Source organism: Homo sapiens, chromosome 6, assembly GCF_000001405.40.
Source record: "Homo sapiens chromosome 6, GRCh38.p14 Primary Assembly".
NCBI lineage: Eukaryota > Metazoa > Chordata > Mammalia > Primates > Hominidae > Homo > Homo sapiens.
Genome location: NC_000006.12, coordinates 95,975,516 through 95,999,317, shown reverse-complemented (window position 1 = coordinate 95,999,317; position 23,802 = coordinate 95,975,516). Strand labels below are relative to the sequence as shown.

The 23,802-nt window shown below is 36.1% G+C and overlaps 1 long non-coding RNA gene and 1 pseudogene across 2 annotated transcripts in view, besides 1 other annotated feature; one reads left to right on the top strand and one right to left on the bottom strand.

The window, feature by feature from the left end:
* Nucleotides 1–23,802, top strand: part of LOC107986626 (uncharacterized) — a 97,612-nt gene that overhangs the window by 16,116 nt on the left and 57,694 nt on the right. The window lies entirely within an intron of this gene.
* Nucleotides 6,917–8,262, bottom strand: KRT18P50 (keratin 18 pseudogene 50; annotated as a pseudogene).
* Nucleotides 20,525–21,724: an enhancer, noted in NCBI's record as "P300/CBP strongly-dependent group 1 enhancer chr6:96425470-96426669 (GRCh37/hg19 assembly coordinates)". NCBI's record gives its function as "activates an origin of replication core promoter dependent on BRD2, BRD4, P300/CBP, MED14 and CDK7 cofactors, with strong dependence on P300/CBP, by STARR-seq in HCT116 cells {active_cell/tissue: HCT116}" and the evidence as "EXISTENCE:reporter gene assay evidence [ECO:0000049][PMID:35650434]".

Below are 23,802 nucleotides of genomic sequence, written 5' to 3'. Positions count from 1 at the left end.
CTTTTTGTCACTTGATATGGTTAGGTTGTGTCCCGACCCAAATCTCATTTTGAATTCCCACCTGTTGTGGAAGGGACCCGGTGGGAGGTAACTGAATCATGGAGGCAAGATTTTACTGCACTGTTCTCATGATAATGAATAAGTTTCATGAGATCTGATGGTTTTATAAAGAGTAGGTCCCCTGCACAAGTTCTCTCTCTTTGCCTGCTGCCAATCCATGTAAAATGTGACTTGCTCCTCTTTGCCTTCTGCCATGATCATGAGGCCTCCTCAGCCATGTGAAACTGTAAGTCCATTAAACCTTTCTTTTGTAGATTGCCCAGTCTCGGGCAATGTCTATATCAGCAGTGTGGAAAAGGACTAATGTAGTAAATTGGTTTCAGTAGAGTGGGGTGCTGCTGAAAACATATCCAAAAATGTGGAAGTGACTTTGGAACTGGGTAACAGGCAGAGGTTGGAACAGTTTGGAGGACTCAAAAGAAGACAGGAAAATGTGGGAAAGTTTGGCACTTCAGAGACTTGTTGAGTGGCTTTGCCCAAAATGCTGATAGCAATATGAACAATAAAATGCAGGCTGAGGTGGTCTCAGATGGAAAAGAGGAACTTGTTAGGAACTGAAGCAAAGGTGATTCTTGTTATGTTTTAGCAAAGAGACTGGTGGCATTTTGCCTCTGCCCTAGAGATTTGTGGAACTTTAAGCTTTAGAGAGATGATTTAGGGTATCTGGTGGAAGAAATTTCTAACCAGCAAAGCATTCAAGAGGTTACCTGGGTGCTGTTAAAGGCATTCAGTTTTATAAGGGAAGCAGAGCATAAAAGTTCAGAAAATTTGCAGCCTGACAATGTGATAGAAAAGAAAATCTTAGTTTCTGAGGAGAGACTAAAGCTGGCTGCAAAAATTTGCATAAGTAACAAAAAGCTGAATGTTAATCCCCAAGACAACGGGGAAATGTATCCAGGGCATGTCAGAGGTCTCCAAAGCAGCCGCTCCCGTTACAGGCAGAGAGACCTAAAAGGGGAATATGGTTTACAAGCATATAAGCTGTATATAAGCATTGTACTATAGTTGATAAAGTTATTTCTCCTGAGGATATGAATGATCAGTTCTGATACTGCTAAACATGTGGACAGGAATTGAACAATTAAGCAAATAATAAAGTAAAGTAAGTAAATAAATAAAGAATGGTGGTTTCTCACTGTAGGAATGGGAGTTTACAGATAAACAAGGGAGTAGACTAGAATGATCCTGGTAAAGAACTCATGTTTAATTTAATATAGATACAGATGGTTATATATAAAATATTTATAGAGTTCATTATTATTATTTATGGTAGTTATATTCTATAAAGTCATTACAAACACTGAATTAGCAAATGAAGAACAATTGTCCAAGACAAAAGTATAGGGTTAGTTTTCTGTTAGCCTCTGGTTATAACGTTTTCATTAACCAATCAAGTATGTAACCTGTTTTATGTGTATTTCTGTTTTAACTCACCTCATTTAAAATATAGTGTTGGTTTATTAATATTGAACTCCCAGCCATCAATACTATATATATATATATATGTATGTGTGTGTATATATATACACACACACAACAATACTATATATATGTGTGTGTATGTATATGTATATATATAGAGAGAGAGTTACAAATTGTTCCAAGTTTGGTCATTAGGAACTCTTTCCATTGGCTCCTGTGCTCCTGTACAAGGGATATATATATATATATACATAGCTAGATAGATAGAAAGACAGATAGATAGATATATTACATATATAACCCTTGCCTGAAGGAAGCTTATCTAATCCAAGTATTCTCTTCATAAGGTACAATACAACCTTCTGTCACTTAGGAATACTAGGAAAGCACTGTAGCACCACACTTGAGGGGCCACTTTAAACAGGAAAATAACATAAAGCACAAAAAATGTGCAAAACATAATGCTAAGTATACCACAAAAGGACACTTGTTTATATTATGATAGTTAAAACAAGAAGGCAGAGTGTTGCCTTGTTCTACTTCAGTTAGGATGTACATGTCAGGTCACTCATTTTTTTTTTTTTTGCTGTCCTGCACAGGTACATAAATTTTCAAGTAGGAAAAGTCACAAGTATGGAATCTACAAATAAAGAGATCTACTGTATGTATACAATCACAGGTTAGTGTACACACTTCTATTTCTTTGCTCTATTAGCTGAGAGAGCTTAAAATAAGGGATATTCTTATAATAGCAAGCACACTTATTGTCCAGATCTCAGTTTCTAATATCATTTTCCAATGACAGGAAGCAAGGCTCCCTCGAGAGATGGCAGCTTCTAGAACTGGAGCAGAAAATATGTAAGATTAACCTGCAGCATTTTGAAGTTCCAGAAAGTGAAAACTTGCTAACAAAAAGGCCCCCAAAATACATTAGTGGGAGTATGTATGTCAAAAGAGTACAGGAGCTAACCGAAGGAGCACTTAATGGCCAAACTTGGAACAATTTGAGTACAAAATAAAGTATAAGTATCTATGAGTACATACTGATATAAATTTAAAAATTTGACCAATTAATAAATGAAGAGGGAAATCTTTCATGTGGAAGAATTCCAAAAAATTTATGTAGGTACCCTTCCTTCAAGCAGAGAGAACATAACTTTTCATCCCTTAAGTGTGGGCTGTGATACTGACTTACTTCCAAAGAGTACAGCATGAAACAGAGGAATAAGAGTAACTTCACAGTGAAGAAATCTGACAATCACTATCTCAGGTGACCAAGGTTGACTTAAAAAATGACAAATCATGTTGATTTTATCTTTGATATGATGAGATGAAAATGGCACTTTACCTCTGTGACCTTTCTCCCTCAAACCTGTAACTCAAGTCCAATAGTGAGAAAAACATCAGACAGATCCAATAGAGGAGTATCTTTCAAAATACCTGACCAATACTCCTCAGAGGGGTCAGCGTCACTAAAACATTACAAACAAGAAAAGTCTGATAAACTGTCATGGCCAAAAAAAAACCTAAGGAAACATTACAACTAAGTATGATATGGTATTATGGATAATATCCTGGAACAGGAAATGAATAGAAGGCAACAAATAAGGAAATCCGAATAAACTATGAACTCTAGTTAATAATACTGTATTAATATTATTTCATTAATTGTAACAAATTTGCCATGCTAATGCAAGATGCTAATAATGGAGAAAGCTAGGTGTGGGGTATTTTGGAACTCTACTATCCTCTCAATTCTTCCTGTACATGTAAACTGTTTTGGTGCAGAGAGGTTTTAGATTTTCTATCATTTTCTAAAATGAAATATTTTTGTCAGTTTTTGTGTTGCTTTTCCATCAAATTCTACTCCTTTTTTTTTTTAACCTTAACTCTGCAAAGGAGTGCTGTTGGTTTAGGTGGGATGTGAGGACTGGTGACATTAGGGAAGAAAATTTGAAAGAAGTGATGAAAGATACCTAAGAGTGCATAACTCTACTGGACGCAGTTAGGATTGGCAGAAAATCATGGGTAAAATTAATTACTTTCCCATAATAAAGTCAGGAATATGATAAAGAAGATTAGAGAGCTATTATACCAAACATTTGCTGAATCACATCACTTATGTAATGAAATCAACACATCTGTACACAAAAGTGACAAAAATTTATTCCATTTCTAGATCTTATTTATTTATTTAATTTCAATAGTTTTGGGGGAACAGGTGATATTCAGTTACATGGATAAACTCTTTAGTGGTGATTTCTGAGATTTTGGTGCACCCTTCACTGGAGCAGTGTATACTGTACTCTGGTGTAGTCTTTTTATCCCTAACACCCTTCCCATCCTTCTCCCTGAGTCCATTATATAATTTTTATGCCTCTGCATCCTCATAGCTTAGCTCCCACTTATAAGTGAGAACAATGTTTGATTTTCCATTCCTGACTTAATTCACTGAGAATAATGGTCTCCAACACCATCCAGGTTGCTGCAAATGGCATTATTTCATTCCTTTTTATGGCTTAGTATTATCCCATGGTGTGTGTGTGTGTGTGTGTGTGTGTGCATGGTATATATGGAATATGATATACATGATGTGTATTATATATGTATATGTGTATATCATATCTCTCTCTCTATATATATAGATATATGTACGTATAATGTTTTCTTTACCTACTAGTTGATTAATGGACATTTGGGCTGATTCCACATTTTTGCGATTGCAAATTGTGCTGCTATAAACATGCATGTGCAAGTGTCTTTTTCATATAATGACTTCTTTCCCTATGGGTAGATACCCAACAGTGGGATTGCTGGATCAAAGGTAGATCTAGTCTTAGTTTTTTAAGGAATCTCCATACCATTTTCTATAATGGTTGTACAAGTTTACATTCCCACCATCAGTAGTGCAAAAGTGTTCCCCATTTCTAGATCTTTAAAGAATAAGGGAGTTGATACGTGAAGTAAAATATTCTGTCCTTCATGAAAAATGGCTAAAGCTTTCAAATGATTTTGCAGGGTTTCTCTGGTGGCAAAAAAAAAATCATTGTACTAACCAAAAATATAAAGAAATGAATAAAGATTGGAAAAGATTTAGCAACATTGAACCAACTGATGGTGCCAACTGCTCAACTCCCATTTTTAGAATCCATCAGAAAAAACTTTGAAGATTTGATTATATTAAGTGATAAGAGAGAAAAGGGCTTTGGGGCCAATAAAAAAAGTACAGAAATGACTGATTTCTTACACTACTATTTAAATCTGTCTAGCAGAGCAATGGGATTCAAGAAAAAAAATGAATAAGATAACATATTTTCAACGGACACATATATAAGCAGCTGCAAAGTGTCCTGCAAAAGAGGAAAAGAATGACCTCTGTTAATGAGTATCACATATTCTTCAAAAGTTTATAAAATGCTATGCATATAATGCCCATTCCACATACCAAAAAAAAAACCCCTGCTTGATCCAGTGCTGCGAACCTGCTGAAGCTTCAAGCAGACAACTGAATAATTAAACTTTCACAGTTAAATTTTAACAACCTTGAATGTCTCCATTATTTGCCAGAGAAAGAGTGACCAGCGGACTTCATTTTTTTCAACGACTCTTCTCCTTATTTCTGCTTGGCTACCTTCATTACTTTTGGGTCATAAAAAATGTATCACATCATTTCAAAGAATTATCTTAAAATCAAGTATCAATACAAATGTATTAAACAATAATCATTAAAACTAATTTAACAAAAATAAAATATCACTAATTGCTTTTGTGTTTGGTACTATCTTTATTTTTATATTTATTGTGTTTTATATTAGTGTTGTGTATTATTTTTATATAAATATATTTTAACAGTTTAATAAGATCATTCATGAATTCGAAACTCTTGAGCTCATATTTTAGCCGCCCCAAAACAGATCTTTCATTTCTTCAATCAGTGATTATTCTACTAGTTTTAAAAATCTGACCATGATGTTTGGGGAAGAACTCTTAAAACTATGTTATAGATTCCATAGTTATTTATTTTCCAAAAGTCTAGGTTTCTTTCATAATAACTAGTCAATGTCAGGTGTAAGGCTACTTGATTTATTCTCATTTCTTGATTATATTCATAAACAGAAATAAAAATTTTAATCTAAGTTAAACAGGTCAGAGTAGCAACAGACATAAAACACAATGTTATGCTTTTTTTGCTATATCACTGCTTACTAATTTTAATTTTTCATTATTTTTAATCATGGCAAAATATGTAACATAATATTTGTTATTTTAGCCATTTCATAAGTGTTCAATTCAGAGGTATTAATCACATTCACAACGTTGTACAACCATAATCGCTATTTTCAAAATGTTTTCATCAACTCAAACAGAAACTCTGCGACCCGTAGGCAGTAATACCCTCTTCGCTCCTCTCTCAGGCCCTGGTAATCTCTAATCTACTTTTTGTTTCTCTGAAGTTGCGTATTCTAGATATTTCACGTGAGTGGAATTACAAAATATGTGTTTTTTGGTGTCTGGTTATTTAATCTAACACAATGATTTCATGTTTCTTCCATGTTTTAGCATGTATCAGAACCTCATTCTTTTTTATGGATGAATAATATTTCAATATGTTCATGTTGTTATGAATATTATTTATACAATTATATATACAAACATACATATATTTATATGTATAGAATATTATTATATATACAAAAATAAATATATGATATTTAATTGAAATTTTTGAAAAAAATCCTAGATTTGTTCAATGCAAAAATTACTTCTGTTGGAGTAAAAGTTAGTGATAAATAATAAAAGCATATATTTTTATTGTAATCAGTTTTCTCCACTTTTTAAAATCTATGGAGAAAATTATAAACTAACGACATCCAGATAATGAAATATTATTTCTGTATTTTCCCTTTCATTTTAATGTTTCTCTGCCTTTTCAGTATACATTTGCTATTGAAACATAAAACATGCTAACTCAGTGAGATTAAATAGGACCAGAAAAGTTATATAACTCCTCCCTAAGTTTAAGCTTTCTGTGATAAGACAAATATTTGTGGCATATCATAACTCTTATACCTGACAAGACTACAAAATTTTCTACTCAAGATAGATCATAAAATTACAAAAAGATCTATCATTCTGTATAGTTCAGTGTAGCAACTAAACTGAGATAACTTCTGCACAGAGAATGCACTTCTAGGATTGATAGTGGACTCTGTGAAGTTGCCAGTTGTTTTTACTATAATAAGTTTAAAAACAAAGAATATATTTTATCCCGAAGACAGTTTTGGTGAGGTGTTTAAAGCATGGAATACATTTCCCAATGATAGAACGTTTGAAAAATTAGTTCGGTTCTCTATCAATCCTGTTAGTTGATATAGAGCTAAATCTAAAAACTACTGACATTGGGTGACCAAAACTGCTGTTCGATTTTTGTTTGGACCTCTGAACTTTTTATTGGGTTATCCAAAGGACACCTTGCTTCTGCTGCCTCAAAACCTCAGAACTTTAGTGTCATTGGTGGGAGATGCTACTTTGCCGTCCACTATCCTGCAAGTGGTGGTCTTTCAGATGGCTTGCATGGGATTGCTGCTATCCAGGGCATCACCGGGATTGAAGTCCCTCCCATCTTCCAGCAGGCAGCAGTAAGGTGGCCAGCTTAGCCGACACTTTGACCTTGATGTTCAGCAGGCCCTCCTCATATACCTAGGCCTGGCGCCACCCCTCTGCCAGAGTCTGTGCCAGCTCTGACTCCAGGTGCAGCAGAACCCCATTGAGCTTCTCCATCTGCATGGCATTGTGGGCCTCCACCTCCCTTGGGCTGTTCTCCAAGCTGGCCTTAAGATTTCTCATGGAGTCCAGGTTGATCTCCAAGGACTGAACTCTACCTCTCAGCTCCGTGAGCATCACCTTGCATTTCTGATTTTGGCAACTGCATGGTGATGACTGTGGTGCTGTCCTCAATCTGCTGGGACCAGTATTTTCCAGTTCCTCTAGGTTCTTCTGAGCCAGCTCGTCACACTGATCTGCCAGGATCTTGCTGGGGTCCTGAGATTTAGGGACATCTACCTCTATGGTCAAACCAGACCTGGCAAACTGGGCTTTTAAGTCTTTTTGTTTTTTCCTCTTTATGGTTCTTCTTCATGAAGAGCAGCTCCTCTTTGAGAGCCGAGATCTGTCTTCAGCTGCAGATGACTGACATTGGTGTCATCAGTGACCTTCCTGAGCCCATGAATGTGGCTCTCCACAGATGGGCATATGGCCAGCTCTGTCTCCTACTTGACTCTAAAATCATCAGCAGCAAGATAGGCCTTGCCAATCTGCAGAACAATGCAGGCATTGTCCACAGAATTTGCAAAAGTCTGAGCCCTGAAGTCCTCTGTGGTCTTAACATAATGTCCCCAGTCTCTGACCTGGGGCCCCTTCTTCTCCAGATGTTCCCAGATTTTGATTTCTAGCCTCCGATTCTCAGTCTCCAGGCCACCCACTCTGTCCAGGTAGGAGGCTAGGCAGTTATTCAGGCCTGTCATGGCCTCATTCTTACTTTGTATGCCCCACTATTTCTACCAGATCCCCAGTCCCCCAGTCTACCCAGAAGCTGGTGGAGCTGAAAGAAAAGATCCAGGAGCTAGAGCCCATGGCATTTGCATAAAGGATAGACAGACTGCTGGCAAGCAACTGGATGGACCCCATGGGCAGGCAGTTAGTGGAGAAGGTGGTGGAGTGGGTGATGAATCTCATGTCTCGGGGGAGGAAAGCAAGAGGACAGGATTCAGGTTCTGCTGAGCTGCTGTTCAATTTTTTTTTCCTAAGGATATTCTCATTGGTGATTTCAGAAACAACTTTCTTCCTATTTATTCCATCTGGCACTCCAGTATATCTTGCCACCAGCGTCCACACATTATTCTTGGAAGGCAGAGCTCCTATCACCTAGGATTGTTGTGGAAACAGGGATTTAGTGACAGATTAGAAGCAGAAATACTGACTAAACTTAGATATTTGCTTAATTTAATTCAACAAAATATGGTAAACATCATTTATCTGTATTCTGCAATGCTAAGATACAGAGAGAATTTAAAGACAAATGAGACACAGTTCTGGACCTCAAGAAGCTTGCAGTTTATAGAGAGGCACAGAAGATATTAAGATCTCTTGGATAAAAGACTTGGTCTGGAAAGTATCATATACAAATGTCAAATGAAGATATATAAATGGAGACATGAGTACATCTGTTTGAGGAATCCTGGAGGGTTCACAGAGTGGGCAACAGTAGAAATGGATCTTGAATGATCTAGGGACTTCTGAAAATCAGAGTTGAGATTGTGGCCCTTATGGGCAGGAATGCTTAGTAGTCATGTATAGGAGGTTTTGAAGTAAGATGCTATTGGAGGAAACTGCCCCCAGTATTTCAATGTAGGTTCTTTCTATTTTCCCTAATTGTCAGCCGGTCTGAGAAATAAAGAGAAACAGTACAAAAAGAGGAATTTTACAGCTGGGCCACCAGGGGTGACATCACGTATCAGTAGGTCCGTGATGCCCACCTGAGCCACAAAACCAGCAAATTTTTATTAAGGGTTTCAAACCGGGAGGGGGTGTACAAACAGGGAGTAGGTCACATGCTTTAAAGGGCAAAAAGCAGAGCAAAGATCACATGCTTCTGAGGAAACAGGGCAAGGACAAAATCAGAACTCCTGATAAGGGTCTATGTTCAGTGGTGCACTTACTGTCTTGATAAACATCTTAACAGAAAACAGGGTTCGAGAGCAGAGAACTTGTCTGACCTCAAATTTACCATAGCTGGGGTTTCCCAATCTTAGTAAGCCTGAGGGTACTGCAGGAGACCAGGGTGTATCTCAGTCCTTATCTCAACTGCATAGGACAGACACTCCCAGAGCGGCCATTTATAGACCTTCCCCAGGAATGCAATTCTTTTCCTAGGGTCTTAATATTATATTCCTTGCTAGGAAAAGAATTTAGCGATATCTCTCCTACTTGCACATCCATTTATAGGCTCTCTGAACGAAGAAAAATATGGCTTTATTCTGCCTGACCCCGCAGGCAGTCAGACCTTATGGTTGTCTTCCCTTTTTCCCTGAAAATCGCTGTTATTCTGTTCTTTTTCAAGGGACACTGATTTCATATTTTTCAAACACACGTTTTACAATCAATTCATACAGTTAACGCAATCATCCCATTGGACCTGAGGTGATTTACATCCTTAGCTTATGAAGATAACAGGATTAAGAGATTAAAGTAAGACAGGCATAAGAAATTATAAGAGTATTATTAGGGAAGTGATAAATGTCCATGAAATCTTCACAATTTATATTTCCTCTGCTGTGGCCCTAGCTGGTCCCTCCATTCAGGGTCCCTGACTTCCCACAACAAGATGCAGCTTTTTAATTCCTGATTCTGGAAGATATTAGAAAATTAAAGGTAAAAATTATAAAGGAGCAGGACATGGTGGCTCATGCTTGTAATCCCAACACTTTGGGAGGCTGAGGGAGGAGGATTGCTTGAGGCCAGGAGTTTAAGACACACCTGGGCAACATAATAAGACCCTATTTCTTAAAATAAAAATAGCCTGGCTTGGTGGTACATGTCTCAGCTACTCAGGGGGCTGAGGTGACAGGATTACTTCAGACCAGGAGTTCAAGGTTATAGTGAGCTATAATCACGCCACTATACTCCAGCCTGGGTGACAGAGCAAGGTTCTGTTTCAAAAAAAAAAAAGAAGGAAAAAAAAAGAAAACTAAAGAGGGAGAACATCCTCTGAATGCATACTCTCTTGCCTATCTTGCCTATATTTGTGAATATGACAGGCCTGTACACACAATTTTATTGAGAAATGAAAGCCAGTTTGGGAATAACAAACTTTTTTTTCGTCAATACCTGAACTTGAATTTAATTGAATTCAAAGTTTTAAATGAACACTAAGCTAAATATCTATTTTAACTTTAATATCTTTAATAAACTTTGTAGAATTTTCTTATTAAACATTGCATAAGTAATTTCTGTTTGTTACAGAAAAATTAAAGAATGCTAATAAAATAAAGTAATAAATCATTCCAAATCAAAATGTTAGTAACATATGTCAATGTAAGAACAGGCCCTCATTTTTTTTATTACATGATAGGAATGTCCACATAAAAATAAGAAAATAAAAAGCAATTTATCAACATTGAATCTTTGGGAAAGGGACAACATTATAAATTTTGAACAATTTCTGTGTTATTACAGATGAGACTTCTTTTAAGAAGTAGTCTCCAGCTACTAAAAGCAGGCAGCTTTTGGGGAAAGCAAATAAAAAGCACAGAATAACACCACAGAAGTCTTAATTTGAAGGGATGAAGGCCAGAGGAGAAGGTAGATAATGAAAGATGGAGACTGTATTAATGTTGAGTATGCTGACAGAACAGACCCCAAACTTCCAGCGCCAAAAAAAAAAAAAAAAAAAAAAAAAAAAGCCTGGTTTATTTCTTTTCTTTTCTTTTCTTTTCTTTTGGCATAGGGTCTAACTCTGTTGCCCAGGCTGGAGTGCAGTGGCACAATCTTGGCTCACTCTGACCTCTGCCTCCCAGGCTCAAGAGATCCTCCTACCTCAGCCTCCCTAGTAGCTGGGACCACAGGTGCCTGCCCTCATGCATGGCTAATTTTTTGTATTTTTGGTAGAGACAGGGTTTTGCCATGTTGCCCAGGCTGGTCTCAAACTCCTGAACTCAATTGATTCTCCTGCCTTGGCCTTCGCGAATTCTGAGATTACAGGAGTGAGCCACCATGCCCAGCCTATTTCTTTCTCAGCTAATTCTCCTGGCTGTTATTTGGGTTGATAGCTGCATTTTCGTTTTGCAGACATCCAAGGCAGACTGATGGCTACTTTGCCATCTTCAATATGTGGATTCCAAGGTCACCAGGGGCATAACCATCAGCCAGAAATGGAGAATGGACAGCATAGAGGTTGCTCATGGGAGGTTTATTTGAGCCACTTTTGGAAGTTGTACACATGACTTCTCTTTACAGTACCTTCATTAAAACAACCGTGTGTCTACACTCAATTGCAAGGGAGGCTAACTCTAGTCTAGCTGTGTTCTCAAGAAGAGGCAACCAATATCTGTTTATTTGCTTGTGTGTTATCTGTTTGGTGGACAGCTGGCTGTCTCAACCACAGAGATGATTCTACTTTAGGTGGTATTTTCTATTTAATCATGGCATACTGAAGAAAATCTCTGGGTGGACTTCTTATGTCCACTTTATATTGCATAGCTTCTTTTCAGCAAATACATATTAGTATATACATATACATATTAGTAGCAAATATATATTAGTATGCATTATTAGAATAATGAAAAGCTTTTTTTAAATAAGCAAGGTTAATATTACTCCAAATATTATGATCTAGAATACACCCAATGTTAATATTTATGCATATATATATGTCCTTTTAGATAATCTATTTACCTATCATCTATCTGTTTATCTAATAATGCTCCATTGAATTTGTCAGATATTTTGGTTGTCAAGAATAAAGTCAGATCTTGTTATTGTAAGTGAAAATAAATTTATTTTAAGACATCAGATAGCTCACACACTCAGTGAGAGATTCTAGAATACCATGTTCTGCTGTTACCCCAACAGGAACAATGCAGCCAGTAAAACTGCCCAATCACATGATAGAAATATTTCTGTCATCAGAAACTTTTGCTCCACACCAATGATAGTGGGGGAACTGGATACCATATTGTTAGCATAGTTGCTCCAGAAGAACCAAATGCCTCTATTTCCATGCTTTACAGAACACGTGAACTCCCCTCACATAGAGAGCATCTCACAGCATTCATTTTGCATCTAAATCTTGAATATGTGCATATGATTTTTAGAAACCAAATCAAATACTTATATCACTGATATCCTGTAACAAGGAGGATAAGATTTTGCATTAGATTTTAAGCCTTTGTAACACATAGGAAGGCAAATTATGAGTTGTTGAAATAAGAATTGAGTGAACCTATTTAAAATATTTGCCTGCTGGGAGTGGTGGCTCTCACCTGTAATCCCAGCACTTTGGAAGGCTGAGGAGGGTGGCTCCCGTGAACTCAGGAGTTCAAGACCAGCCTGGGCAACATGGCAAAACTCCGTCTCTAAGAAGAATACAAAAATTATCCGGGCATCGTGGCACGCACTTGTAGTGCCTGCTATATGGGAGGCTGAGGCAGCAGGATCCGTTGAGACTTGGGAGGTTGAGGCTACAGTGAGCAGTGATCATGCCACTGGACTCCAGCCTGGGTGACAGAATGAGACCCTGTCTCAAAAAAATAGAATAAAATAAAATATTTTCCAATGAGATTTGTCTCAAGTATTTGTTTCTTAATGGTTATTTTAAAAGCTATTATTGTTATATTTTTAACTAGCCAGCTACTGAACTGTATTCTAGTTTCAAGAGTTTTTCAGTTTATTTTCTGTATGCTTTTTAGATAGAGAATTATATTTGCAATAATGGTATTTATCTTTTCATTTCTAATATTTATACTTTTTCATTTCTTTGTCTATGGCATTAACTATTTTAGCAAAGTTATCCTAAATAATACGTGTTCTTTCAAATTCTCTCTACATAAAAGAGATAAATACTTGATGATACTTGTAGGCATAATGCTTCTTTTTTTTTTTTTTTTTTTTTTTGAGACGGAGTCTCGCTGTGTTGCCCAGGCTGGAGCACAGTGGCGTGATCTCAGCTCACTGCAAGCTCCGCCTCCCGGGTTCATGCCATTCTCCTGCCTCAGCCTCCCGAGTAGCTGGTACTACAGGTGCCTGCCACCACGCCCGGCTAATTTTTTTGTATTTTCAGTAGAGACGGGGTTTCACCGTGTTAGCCAGGATGGTCTCGATCTCCTGACCTCGTGATCCACCCACCTCGGCCTCCCAAAGTGCTGGGATTACAGGCGTGAGCCACCGCACCTGGCTAATGCTTCTTTTAAGTAGATATTTAATAATAGGAAAATATTATTGACTCTAAATGCTTTGCTGACCCTGTTTGCTTAAGGAATTATCTTTACAGTTTGTAAAAGAGAGAACTAGTGGTTCTAAGATTCCAGTATAAAACTAGCAATTAGACTAACTTAAATAAAAAACAACTTTAATTATAATAAAACTAGTTTAAAAGTAGATTAATATAGAGAAGAAAATAAAATCACCAATAATTTCATTGCTCAAGACGACCTGATAACTATATATGCATCTCTGCACACCCTTCCCAAAGCCCCTGCCGACACACACACACACATTTAAAAAAACTGAATCATATGATCATTTGAATATACTATTTAATTATAAATTAAAAGTATATTATTGTGTCAATCATTGTCATTTTATTGCAAAATTTGATATAATTTATTTATTTAATCCAGGAAAGTTTTAACTCCAAACATGTGTTATGGGATACCTGATTTCCCCCAGATCTAATCTACCTCTTCATCCTATTCTGCATTTTAAAAACTCTTCACTGAGATTTTAAAATTTACTAGTCTTCAGTTTTGAAGCCCTTTAAAGGCTGAATTTTTGTTTTATTTAGAGTATTCTAAGTATTTTATTATGGATCAGATAGTGTTTTATAAATCAACATGTGTCTATATTTTATCATGTAGACTGATTAGCCAGTAAGAATAATTTCTTATCTTTATTTTAATTTTTCTGACTTAAAAGTAAAATGGCTAAACTAAATAAATTCCAAATTCATTCAGTCTGTGGAAAAGTAATGATGTGCAAAGGAAAGATTAATCAAAATAAGAACAGATGCAAAAAAAATTTATTAGCTTCCCACAGCATACAACTTTTACAGAACTTTGTGAAAATTTTCCAATATTATGTTAAATTTGTATGATATAACATCAGTAAATGATCCCTTGAGAATATGAATTAATAATAGAAGTCCATTTTTGTTTTAAAGATTTTAGATAATCCTGAAGCAATTCTAGATGCGTAGAAGAAAGTCCTGAGTCTGAGTAAATGAGGCTGGGTATAGGCAGCCAGTCTAAAGAAATTTCAGCAGCAGTAGTAGAAATTTTATGTGTATGTATGTGAAATATATCAGCAATTGTTGTTGTATTTTGAAGAGAATTTTTAACTGTCCCTCCTCAAGGCCCATTAAACTTTCTGTTTGCATTAATTTTGTCTTAACACTCAGAGTAAATCAAATCGAATAGAACTTTAAAATTTTAGTTCTGTGTATAGTTTACATTAATACAGGGTTTTAAAAAATGAAAGTAATAATATTAAAAACTTCAAAAATATGGAAAAGTAAAATAAATGCAAATCATCCTCAGACTTATTATACAATAATAGTAGCATTTCAGAGTATTGTCTTTCATATACACTCAGAATGAAAACATACTAAATATATTTCATTTTAGTATTTTCTTTTCATATAATTTTTAAATGTCTTTCCATGTTATTAAATTTCTTTGAATCACAATTTTTAATTACAGTGATTTATTTTGCACATTTGAATAACTCATATGATCATATTTTTCTCAAAATTGTTGTGTTTATAAAGAAAATGTATAGAAAGTCCTTGTGACTATATCTTTGTATATGTTCTCAGTTGTTTTCTTACAATAGATTCCTAGAATTTGACTTTTATCCAAAATGACCTAACAAAATTTTCCATATCAAAATTTTATTCAAAAATTATATTAAAATATATTTTTGATACAATGCAATTACAAGTTAATAAGACAAAAATCCCCTTATGTTTGAAAATTAAAAATAAAACCATCAAAGTACTTGAATTTAAGCTAAAATAGAAAGCCTATACAATATTTTATATCTTTCCTTTCTAGGAAAAATGTTGGAAGTTAAATAGATAAATAAATAGAAACTAAAACCTCATAGTATGACTTCCATTTCAGGTACTCTTTTTTAAAAAGTGATGACATTGGTATCAGAATGATGCTGGCCTCATAAAATGAGTTAGGGAGGATTCCCTCTTTTTCTATTGATTGGAATAGTTTCAGAAGGAATGGTACCAGTTCCTCCTTGTACCTCTGGTAGAATTCGGCTGTGAATCCATCTGGTCCTGGACTCTTTTTAGTTGGTAAACTATTGATTATTGCCACAATTTCAGAGCCTGTTATTGGTCTATTCAGAGATTCAACTTCTTCCTGGTTTAGTCTTGGGAGAGTGTATGTGTCGAGGAATGTATCCATTTCTTCTAGATTTTCTAGTTTATTTGCGTAGAGGTGTTTGTAGTATTCTCTGATGGTAGTTTGTATTTCTGTGGGATCGGTGGTGATATCCCCTTTATCATTTTTTATTGTGTCTATTTGATTCTTCTCTCTTTTTTTCTTTATTAGTCTTGCTAGCAGTCTATCAATTTTGTTGATCCTTTCAAAAAACCAGCTCTTGGATTCATTGATTTTTTGAAGGGTTTTTTGTGTCTCTATTTCCTTCAGTTCTGCTCTGATTTTAGTTATTTCTTGCCTTCTGCTAGCTTTTGAATGTGTTTGCTCTTGCTTTTCTAGTTCTTTTAATTGTGATGTTAGGGTGTCAATTTTGGATCTTTCCTGCTTTCTCTTGTAGGCATTTAGTGCTATAAATTTCCCTCTACACACTGCTTTGAATGCGTCCCAGAGATTCTGGTATGTGGTGTCTTTGTTCTTGTTGGTTTTAAAGAACATCTTTATTTCTGCCTTCATTTCGTTATGTACCCAGTAGTCATTCAGGAGCAGGTTGTTCAGTTTCCATGTAGTTGAGCGGCTTTGAGTGAGATTCTTAATCCTGAGTTCTAGTTTGATTGCACTGTGGTCTGAGAGATAGTTTGTTATAATTTCTGTTCTTTTACATTTGCTGAGGAGAGCTTTACTTCCAACTATGTGGTCAATTTTGGAATAGGTGTGGTGTGGTGCTGAAAAAAATGTATATTCTGTTGATTTGGGGTGGAGAGTTCTGTAGACGTCTATTAGGTCCGCTTGGTGCAGAGCTGAGTTCAATTCCTGGGTATCCTTGTTGACTTTCTGTCTCGTTGATCTGTCTAATGTTGACAGTGGGGTGTTAAAGTCTCCCATTATTAATGTGTGGGAGTCTAAGTCTCTTTGTAGGTCACTCAGGACTTGCTTTATGAATCTGGGTGCTCCTGTATTGGGTGCATAAATATTTAGGATAGTTAGCTCTTCTTGTTGAATTGATCCCTTTACCATTATGTAATGGCCTTCTTTGTCTCTTTTGATCTTTGTTGGTTTAAAGTCTGTTTTATCAGAGACTAGGATTGCAACCCCTGCCTTTTTTTGCTTTCCATTGGCTTGGTAGATCTTCCTCCATCCTTTTATTTTGAGCCTATGTGTGTCTCTGCACGTGAGATGGGTTTCCTGAATACAGCACACTGATGGGTCTTGACTCTTTATCCAACTTGCCAGTCTGTGTCTTTTAATTGCAGAATTTAGTCCATTTATATTTAAACCAAAGCCGGGCAGAGACACAACCAAAAAAGAGAATTTTAGACCAATATCCTTGATGAACATTGATGCAAAAATCCTCAATAAAATACTGGCAAACCAAATCCAGCAGCACATCAAAAAGCTTATCCACCATGATCAAGTGGGCTTCATCCCTGGGATGCAAGGCTGGTTCAATATATGCAAATCAATAAATGTAATCCAGCATATAAACAGAGCCAAAGACAAAAACCACATGATTATCTCAATAGATGCAGAAAAAGCCTTTGACAAAATTCAACAACCCTTCATGCTAAAAACTCTCAATAAATTAGGTATTGATGGGACGTATTTCAAAATAATAAGAGCTATCTATGACAAACCCACAGCCAATATCATACTGAATGGGCAAAAACTGGAAGCATTCCCTTTGAAAACTGGCACAAGACAGGGATGCCCTCTCTCACCGCTCCTATTCAACATAGTGTTGGAAGTTCTGGCCAGGGCAATCAGGCAGGAGAAGGAAATAAAGGGTATTCAATTAGGAAAAGAGGAAGTCAAATTGTCCCTGTTTGCAGACGACATGATTGTTTATCTAGAAAACCCCATCGTCTCAGCCCAAAATCTCCTTAAGCTGATAAGCAACTTCAGCAAAGTCTCAAGATACAAAATCAATGTACAAAAATCACAAGCATTCTTATACACCAACAACAGACAAACAGAGAGCCAAATCATGAGTGAACTCCCATTCACAATTGCTTCAAAGAGAATAAAATACCCAGGAATCCAACTTAGAAGGGATGTGAAGGACCTCTTCAAGGAGAACTACAAACCACTGCTCAAGGAAATAAAAGAGGACACAAACAAATGGAAGAACATTCCATGCTCATGGGTAGGAAGAATCAATATCGTGAAAATGGCCATACTGCCCAAGGTAATTTACAGATTCAATGCCATCCCCATCAAGCTACCAATGACTTTCTTCACAGAATTGGAAAAAACTACTTTAAAGTTCATATGGAACCAAAAAAGAGCCCACATCGCCAAGTCAATCCTAAGCCAAAAGAACAAAGCTGGAGGCATCACACTACCTGACTTCAAACTATACTACAAGGCTACAGTAACCAAAACAGCATGGTACTGGTACCAAAACAGAGATATAGATCAATGGAACAGAACAGAGCCCTCAGAAATAATGCCGCATATCTACAACTATCTGATCTTTGACAAACCTGACAAAAACAAGCAATGGGGAAAGGATTCCCTATTTAATAAATGGTGCTGGGAAAACTGGCTAGCCATATGTAGAAAGCTGAAACTGGATCCCTTCCTTACACCTTATACAAAAATCAATTCAAGATGGGTTAAAGATTTAAACGTTAGACCTAAAACCATAAAAACCCTAGAAGAAAACCTAGGCATTACCATTCAGGACATAGGCGTGGGCAAGGACTTCATGTCCAAAACACCAAAAGCAATGGCAACAAAAGCCAACATTGACAAATGAGATCTATTTAAACTAAAGAGCTTCTGCACAGCAAAAGAAACTACCATCAGAGTGAACAGGCAACCTACAACATGGGAGAAAATTTTTGCAACCTACTCATCTGACAAAGGGCTAATATCCAGAATCTACAATGAACTCAAACAAATTTACAAGAAAAAAACAAACAACCCCATCAAAAAGTGGGCGAAGGACATGAACAGACACTTCTCAAAAGAAGACATTTATGCAGCCAAAAGACACATGAAAAAATGCTCATCATCACTGGCCATCAGAGAAATGCAAATCAAAACCACTATGAGATATCATCTCACACCAGTTAGAATGGCAATCATTAAAAAGTCAGGAAACAACAGGTGCTGGAGAGGATGTGGAGAAATAGGAACACTTTGACACTGTTGGTGGGACTGTAAACTAGTTCAACCATTGTGGAAGTCAGTGTGGTGATTCCTCAGGGATCTAGAACTAGAAATACCATTTGACCCAGCCATCCCATTACTGGGTATATACCCAAATGACTATAAATCATGCTGCTATAAAGACACATGCACACGTATGTTTATTGCGGCACTATTCACAATAGCAAAGACTTGGAACCAACCCAAATGTCCAACAATGATAGACTGGATTAAGAAAATGTGGCACATATACACCATGGAATACTATGCAGCCATAAAAAAGGATGAGTTCATGTCCTTTGTAGGGACATGGATGAAATTGGAAACCATCATTCTCAGTAAACTATCGCAAGAACAAAAAACCAAACACCGCATATTCTCACTCATAGGTGGGAATTGAACAATGAGATCACATGGACACAGGAAGGGGAATATCACACTCTGGGGACTGTGGTGGGGTCGGCGGAGGGGGGAGGGATAGCATTGGGAAATATACCTAATGCTAGATGACACGTTAGTGGGTGCAGCGCACCAGCATGGCACATGTATACATATGTAACTAACCTGCACAATGTGCACATGTACCCTAAAACTTAAAGTATAATAAAAAAAAAACATTATTCCAGCTAAAAAAAAAAAAAAAAAATTAAGTTGCTGAAAGCTAAAAAAAAAAAAAAAAAGTGATGACATTTAAGAAATGAGGTTGAAAGCCTCTAAATAGTCAGAGGCTAAATGAAGAAAGATGTATATTGCAACACTAAATCTAACTTTTTGGAAAACCTCTAATGTGGCTACTCTCACTGGCCCAGGAGGAATATTTTCAGAAATCTAGACAGGAATCAAATCATGTATTTCAGCTGAATGGGATTGTTCTTTCGCATATCCATCAGAAGCTTTTAAAATTGTACTGAGGCTACACTCTACTGACTAAATATATGCACTTTTTAGTCTTGACTTTGGAATATTAAAACAATTCCACTTATACGATTTTTTATTACAGTGGCTATATCTAACAACCCTGGAAAAAGAGATCAGACTTTCAGAATTCAAATGGCTCAATTTGATGAAAATCTATCGTAACAGTTTCCATAAGCACTAATGCTAGCACTTTCAGGACTTGAAAAACTGACAAATCAAGTCAAGCACAGTTCTTTTTTAAAGACTTAATTGTATTTTTAATTGACAAATAATAATTGTAAAATTCCACTTCTGGATATATGTCCAAAGAAATTGAAATCAGTATGCCAAGATATATCTGTACTCCCACATTCACTGTAGCATTATTTACAATGGCAAACAGTTCTCTTATGGCCTGATTTCTTTGCGGTTGTATAGATATGGACAAACATTAATTTAGCTGTAGCGTAACTTTTAAATTTAATTATCCTATGTTCCTCCCATAACGAGGTTGAAAGAAAAACATAAAGAAGTGGGAATCATGCAAATGAATAAACATGATTTCCACAGGGTGGGAAAGGTAATCCTCTAGAAACTGGCTATTTATTTTATTTGCGCTTGCTCATTTATCCATTTATTTATTTGTTCTTTTATCAATGATTATGGATTCTGTATTCCCACTACTGAATTAAGCACTGGAGATTCCTATATGAAGAAAACAATGTACTTTGGAAGAGATAGAGAGGTTGATTTTTATGATAGTATGATATGCAGTAACATACAGGTTCTGTATTTGGGGTGGCAGTATTATTTAGTATTTCAGAACTTTAGCTCTCAAATAATAATGTATGGATTCAAAATCTGCTCCATATCTCATCAGCCAGGTGGTCTTGGACAAGTGTTTAATTCTTTGGTTCCAGTTTTCTCATCTGTTAAATAAGGATTATAACATTACCCATATTATTGAATTGTTTTGAGGCATAAATGAGGTATTATCTGTCTCTATAATAGTGTGTGACACATAATTGTATGTTAATGTTAACTATTGTTATTCGTGCTCTTGTTATGAAGGAATAATTGTGCTAAAAGGTGAAAGAGAGAGGATGACTAATGCAAGATGAGAAGAAAAGGGCATCATGACTAAGCAGAGAAGGGAGGGAAAGGCACTCCAAGTGGGAGATGGAGAGAAAATAGTGCAGAGCAGTAAGGTGTAGAGATGCAGAACAGGTTCAGAGAACAGTGACCTCTTATAATCAACTCGATGTGTAATGGTGAGTCATTTGAACTTTATCCTGAAAACTTTTAAACCTTACAAGAAAAGAAATAGCATGATTAGATTTGGATATCAGAAACATGGTATAGTAAATGATGTGGAAAACAAATCTGAGTGTGAGCAGATGAGATTAGAGAGACTTATGAGACAGACCTAATTGTCCAAGTGAGAAACTGAAGACATAAATTAAAGCTTAAATATTAAAGATTAAACCAGGCATATGGTCTACAAATTATGTATGACACATATGTGATGAAAAGGTGGGATTTAAAGCTCATGCCCAGATTTCCAGCTTGTGCAAATTGATGACAATGCTATTAGCCAAGATAGAGAATATAATAAATGCTTATTATAATATTTAATATTATTTAGTTCTTAATTTGTGTCAGGCTCAAGTTCTGCTCCAAATACTTTTTTTTTTTTTTGAGATGGACTCTTGCTCTATCACCAGGCTGGCATGCAGTGGTGTGATCTCGCTCACTGCAACCTCCGCCTCCAGGTTCAAGCGATTCTCCTGCCTCAGCCTCCCGAGTAGCCAGGACAACGGGCAAACACCACTATGCCCAGATAATTTTTGTATTTTTAGTAGATATGGGGTTTCACCATGTCAGTCAGGATGGTCTCGATCTCTTGTCCTCATGATCCGCCTGCCTTGGCCTCCCAAAGTGCTGGGATTACAGGCGTGAGCCACCACGCCCTGCCTCCAAATACCTTTTTTTTCTTTAAGACAGTCTCACTCTATTGCCCATGCTGGAGTGCAGTGGTGCTATCATAGCTTGCTGTAAACTGGAACTCGTGGGCTCAAGTGATCCTCCCATGTCAGAGTAGCTATCGTGTCCACCATCATGTACAACTAATTTTTTAACTTTTTTGTAGAAACAGGGTCTCACTATGTTGCCCCGGCTGGTCTTGAATTCTTGGCCTCAAACAATCTTTGCACCTTGGCCTCTTAACGTGCTGAGATTCCAAATATTCTTAATGCAATAACTCATTTAATTCTCACAACAATGCTACAAAATAATATTTTTCCATTTTACAGATAAGAAAATTGTAGGACATAAGAAATAAATAATTTTCCAAGGTCACATAGCTAGTGACCAGGAGAGTGGAATTGCTAATGTGGTTGAATAGTTGCAGAACTTATGCTTTTGAGCTCCATGCCACACAGCTCTGCTACTGAGAAGAGGAAAATTTGAAGGAGGAGTTGGCCTCTACGAAGATAGACAAGTCTTAACGTAAAGATTTTGGTTCTCTTTTGAAAAACATTCTATACAATTAGTATCAACACAGTGCTATATTAGTTCATTATTTTAATAACTAATCAGCTTGACTGTGTCTTCATTTTGTAAACATAGGTAAATATAAATCAAATACATATACATAAGTTTATGTATGTACATACGCACATATATACATATATATAAAAATATAACGCTTCTAAACAATGGACTAGTTACCACATCAAAATAATGTGGGCTTAGTTTAGAATGACTTATCCTTCATAAATATATGATTGTTTTTAGTGCTTAAACATTTTATTTTTAAATGTTTATACTATTATGTTAAGTTTTTCTTTATCTCCTCATGAATAGAGATTCTATTACGATTTCGCAGACCTATAGCTAATTAGATATTTATTTACTTGTGTGGATAGGGGATGGAAACTAAATATTATTTTACACATCTTACACCTATGTCTCAAGAAATCATAAGCATCTTCTCAAACTCCATACTGGCTTATTACTACATATTTGTGTTAATTAGATGAGTTTTATCTATAGTAATAAACTCTTAAATATGCTAATGAACAATTCTGTCTCTATATTATTTGACTGATACCATCATAGGTCCCATTGATTACACATTTCAAACTGTAAAATGTTAGGATGTCATTTTACTTAATAAATGACTGCATATATTGAAATAAACTCAAGGGCTAGGTAAATTTATAGATCTAATGGGAATTCCACTTTTTCTGGTTATGTAGCTTCCACAAGCTTTAATTCAGTGATTACACATTTCTTATTAGGTAAGCAAATCTGGGATACCAACAGCATGAATACAGGCCATGAAATGAATGAATGATTTTCTCAGATGATGTGAGGGGGCAACAAAACGTATAAATAACTATTATTGGTTTCAAATTATAATATTTATAATATTTATTATTAAATTAGTCTTTCAAAGTAGGACAGATAAAGAAAATAAAAATATAAGTTTAATTTTCTACATATCAAACAGAACTGCAAATGCATTCATTTATTAATGTTCTACTTGAGACTGCCAATCTTGTAGGTCCTCAGTTTTCTCTCTTATTCTCTACAGAAGTTATTTCAATCTTTTCTCTTCTCCCAGATCTTCTATGAAACCAGGTATTTGTTCATCATCAGATGATGATTTTACCTCATAAATTTTAGAGAAAATGGGAATCATAGGTAGGAATTACCTCACCTTCCTTTTTTCCTCTCAATAAAATTCAAGAAGTGTCTTTCCTCCCAGGGCCATTCTCTGAGGTAGTATTTCCTGTCTTCTCTTCCAGGAACATACTCCATCAATAGTCCCTCTTTCTCTATATTCATTGTCTCCCTTCCTGGTAACTGTTTCTCAACAACATTTAAAGCTTCTTGAATCTCCTTATCAATGTTAGTTTTCTAGGACTGCTGTAACAAAGTATCACAAAGGCAGAAATTTATGGTCTCACAATTCTGGGCTACCTCTTTGTAGCTTCTGGTGGTTTCCTGGTAATCTTTGGTGTTCCCTGGCTTGCAGACACTTAATTCACTTCTCTGCTTTTGATCTCCTGTGGTGTTCCCTGTGTCTCTGTTTTCACAT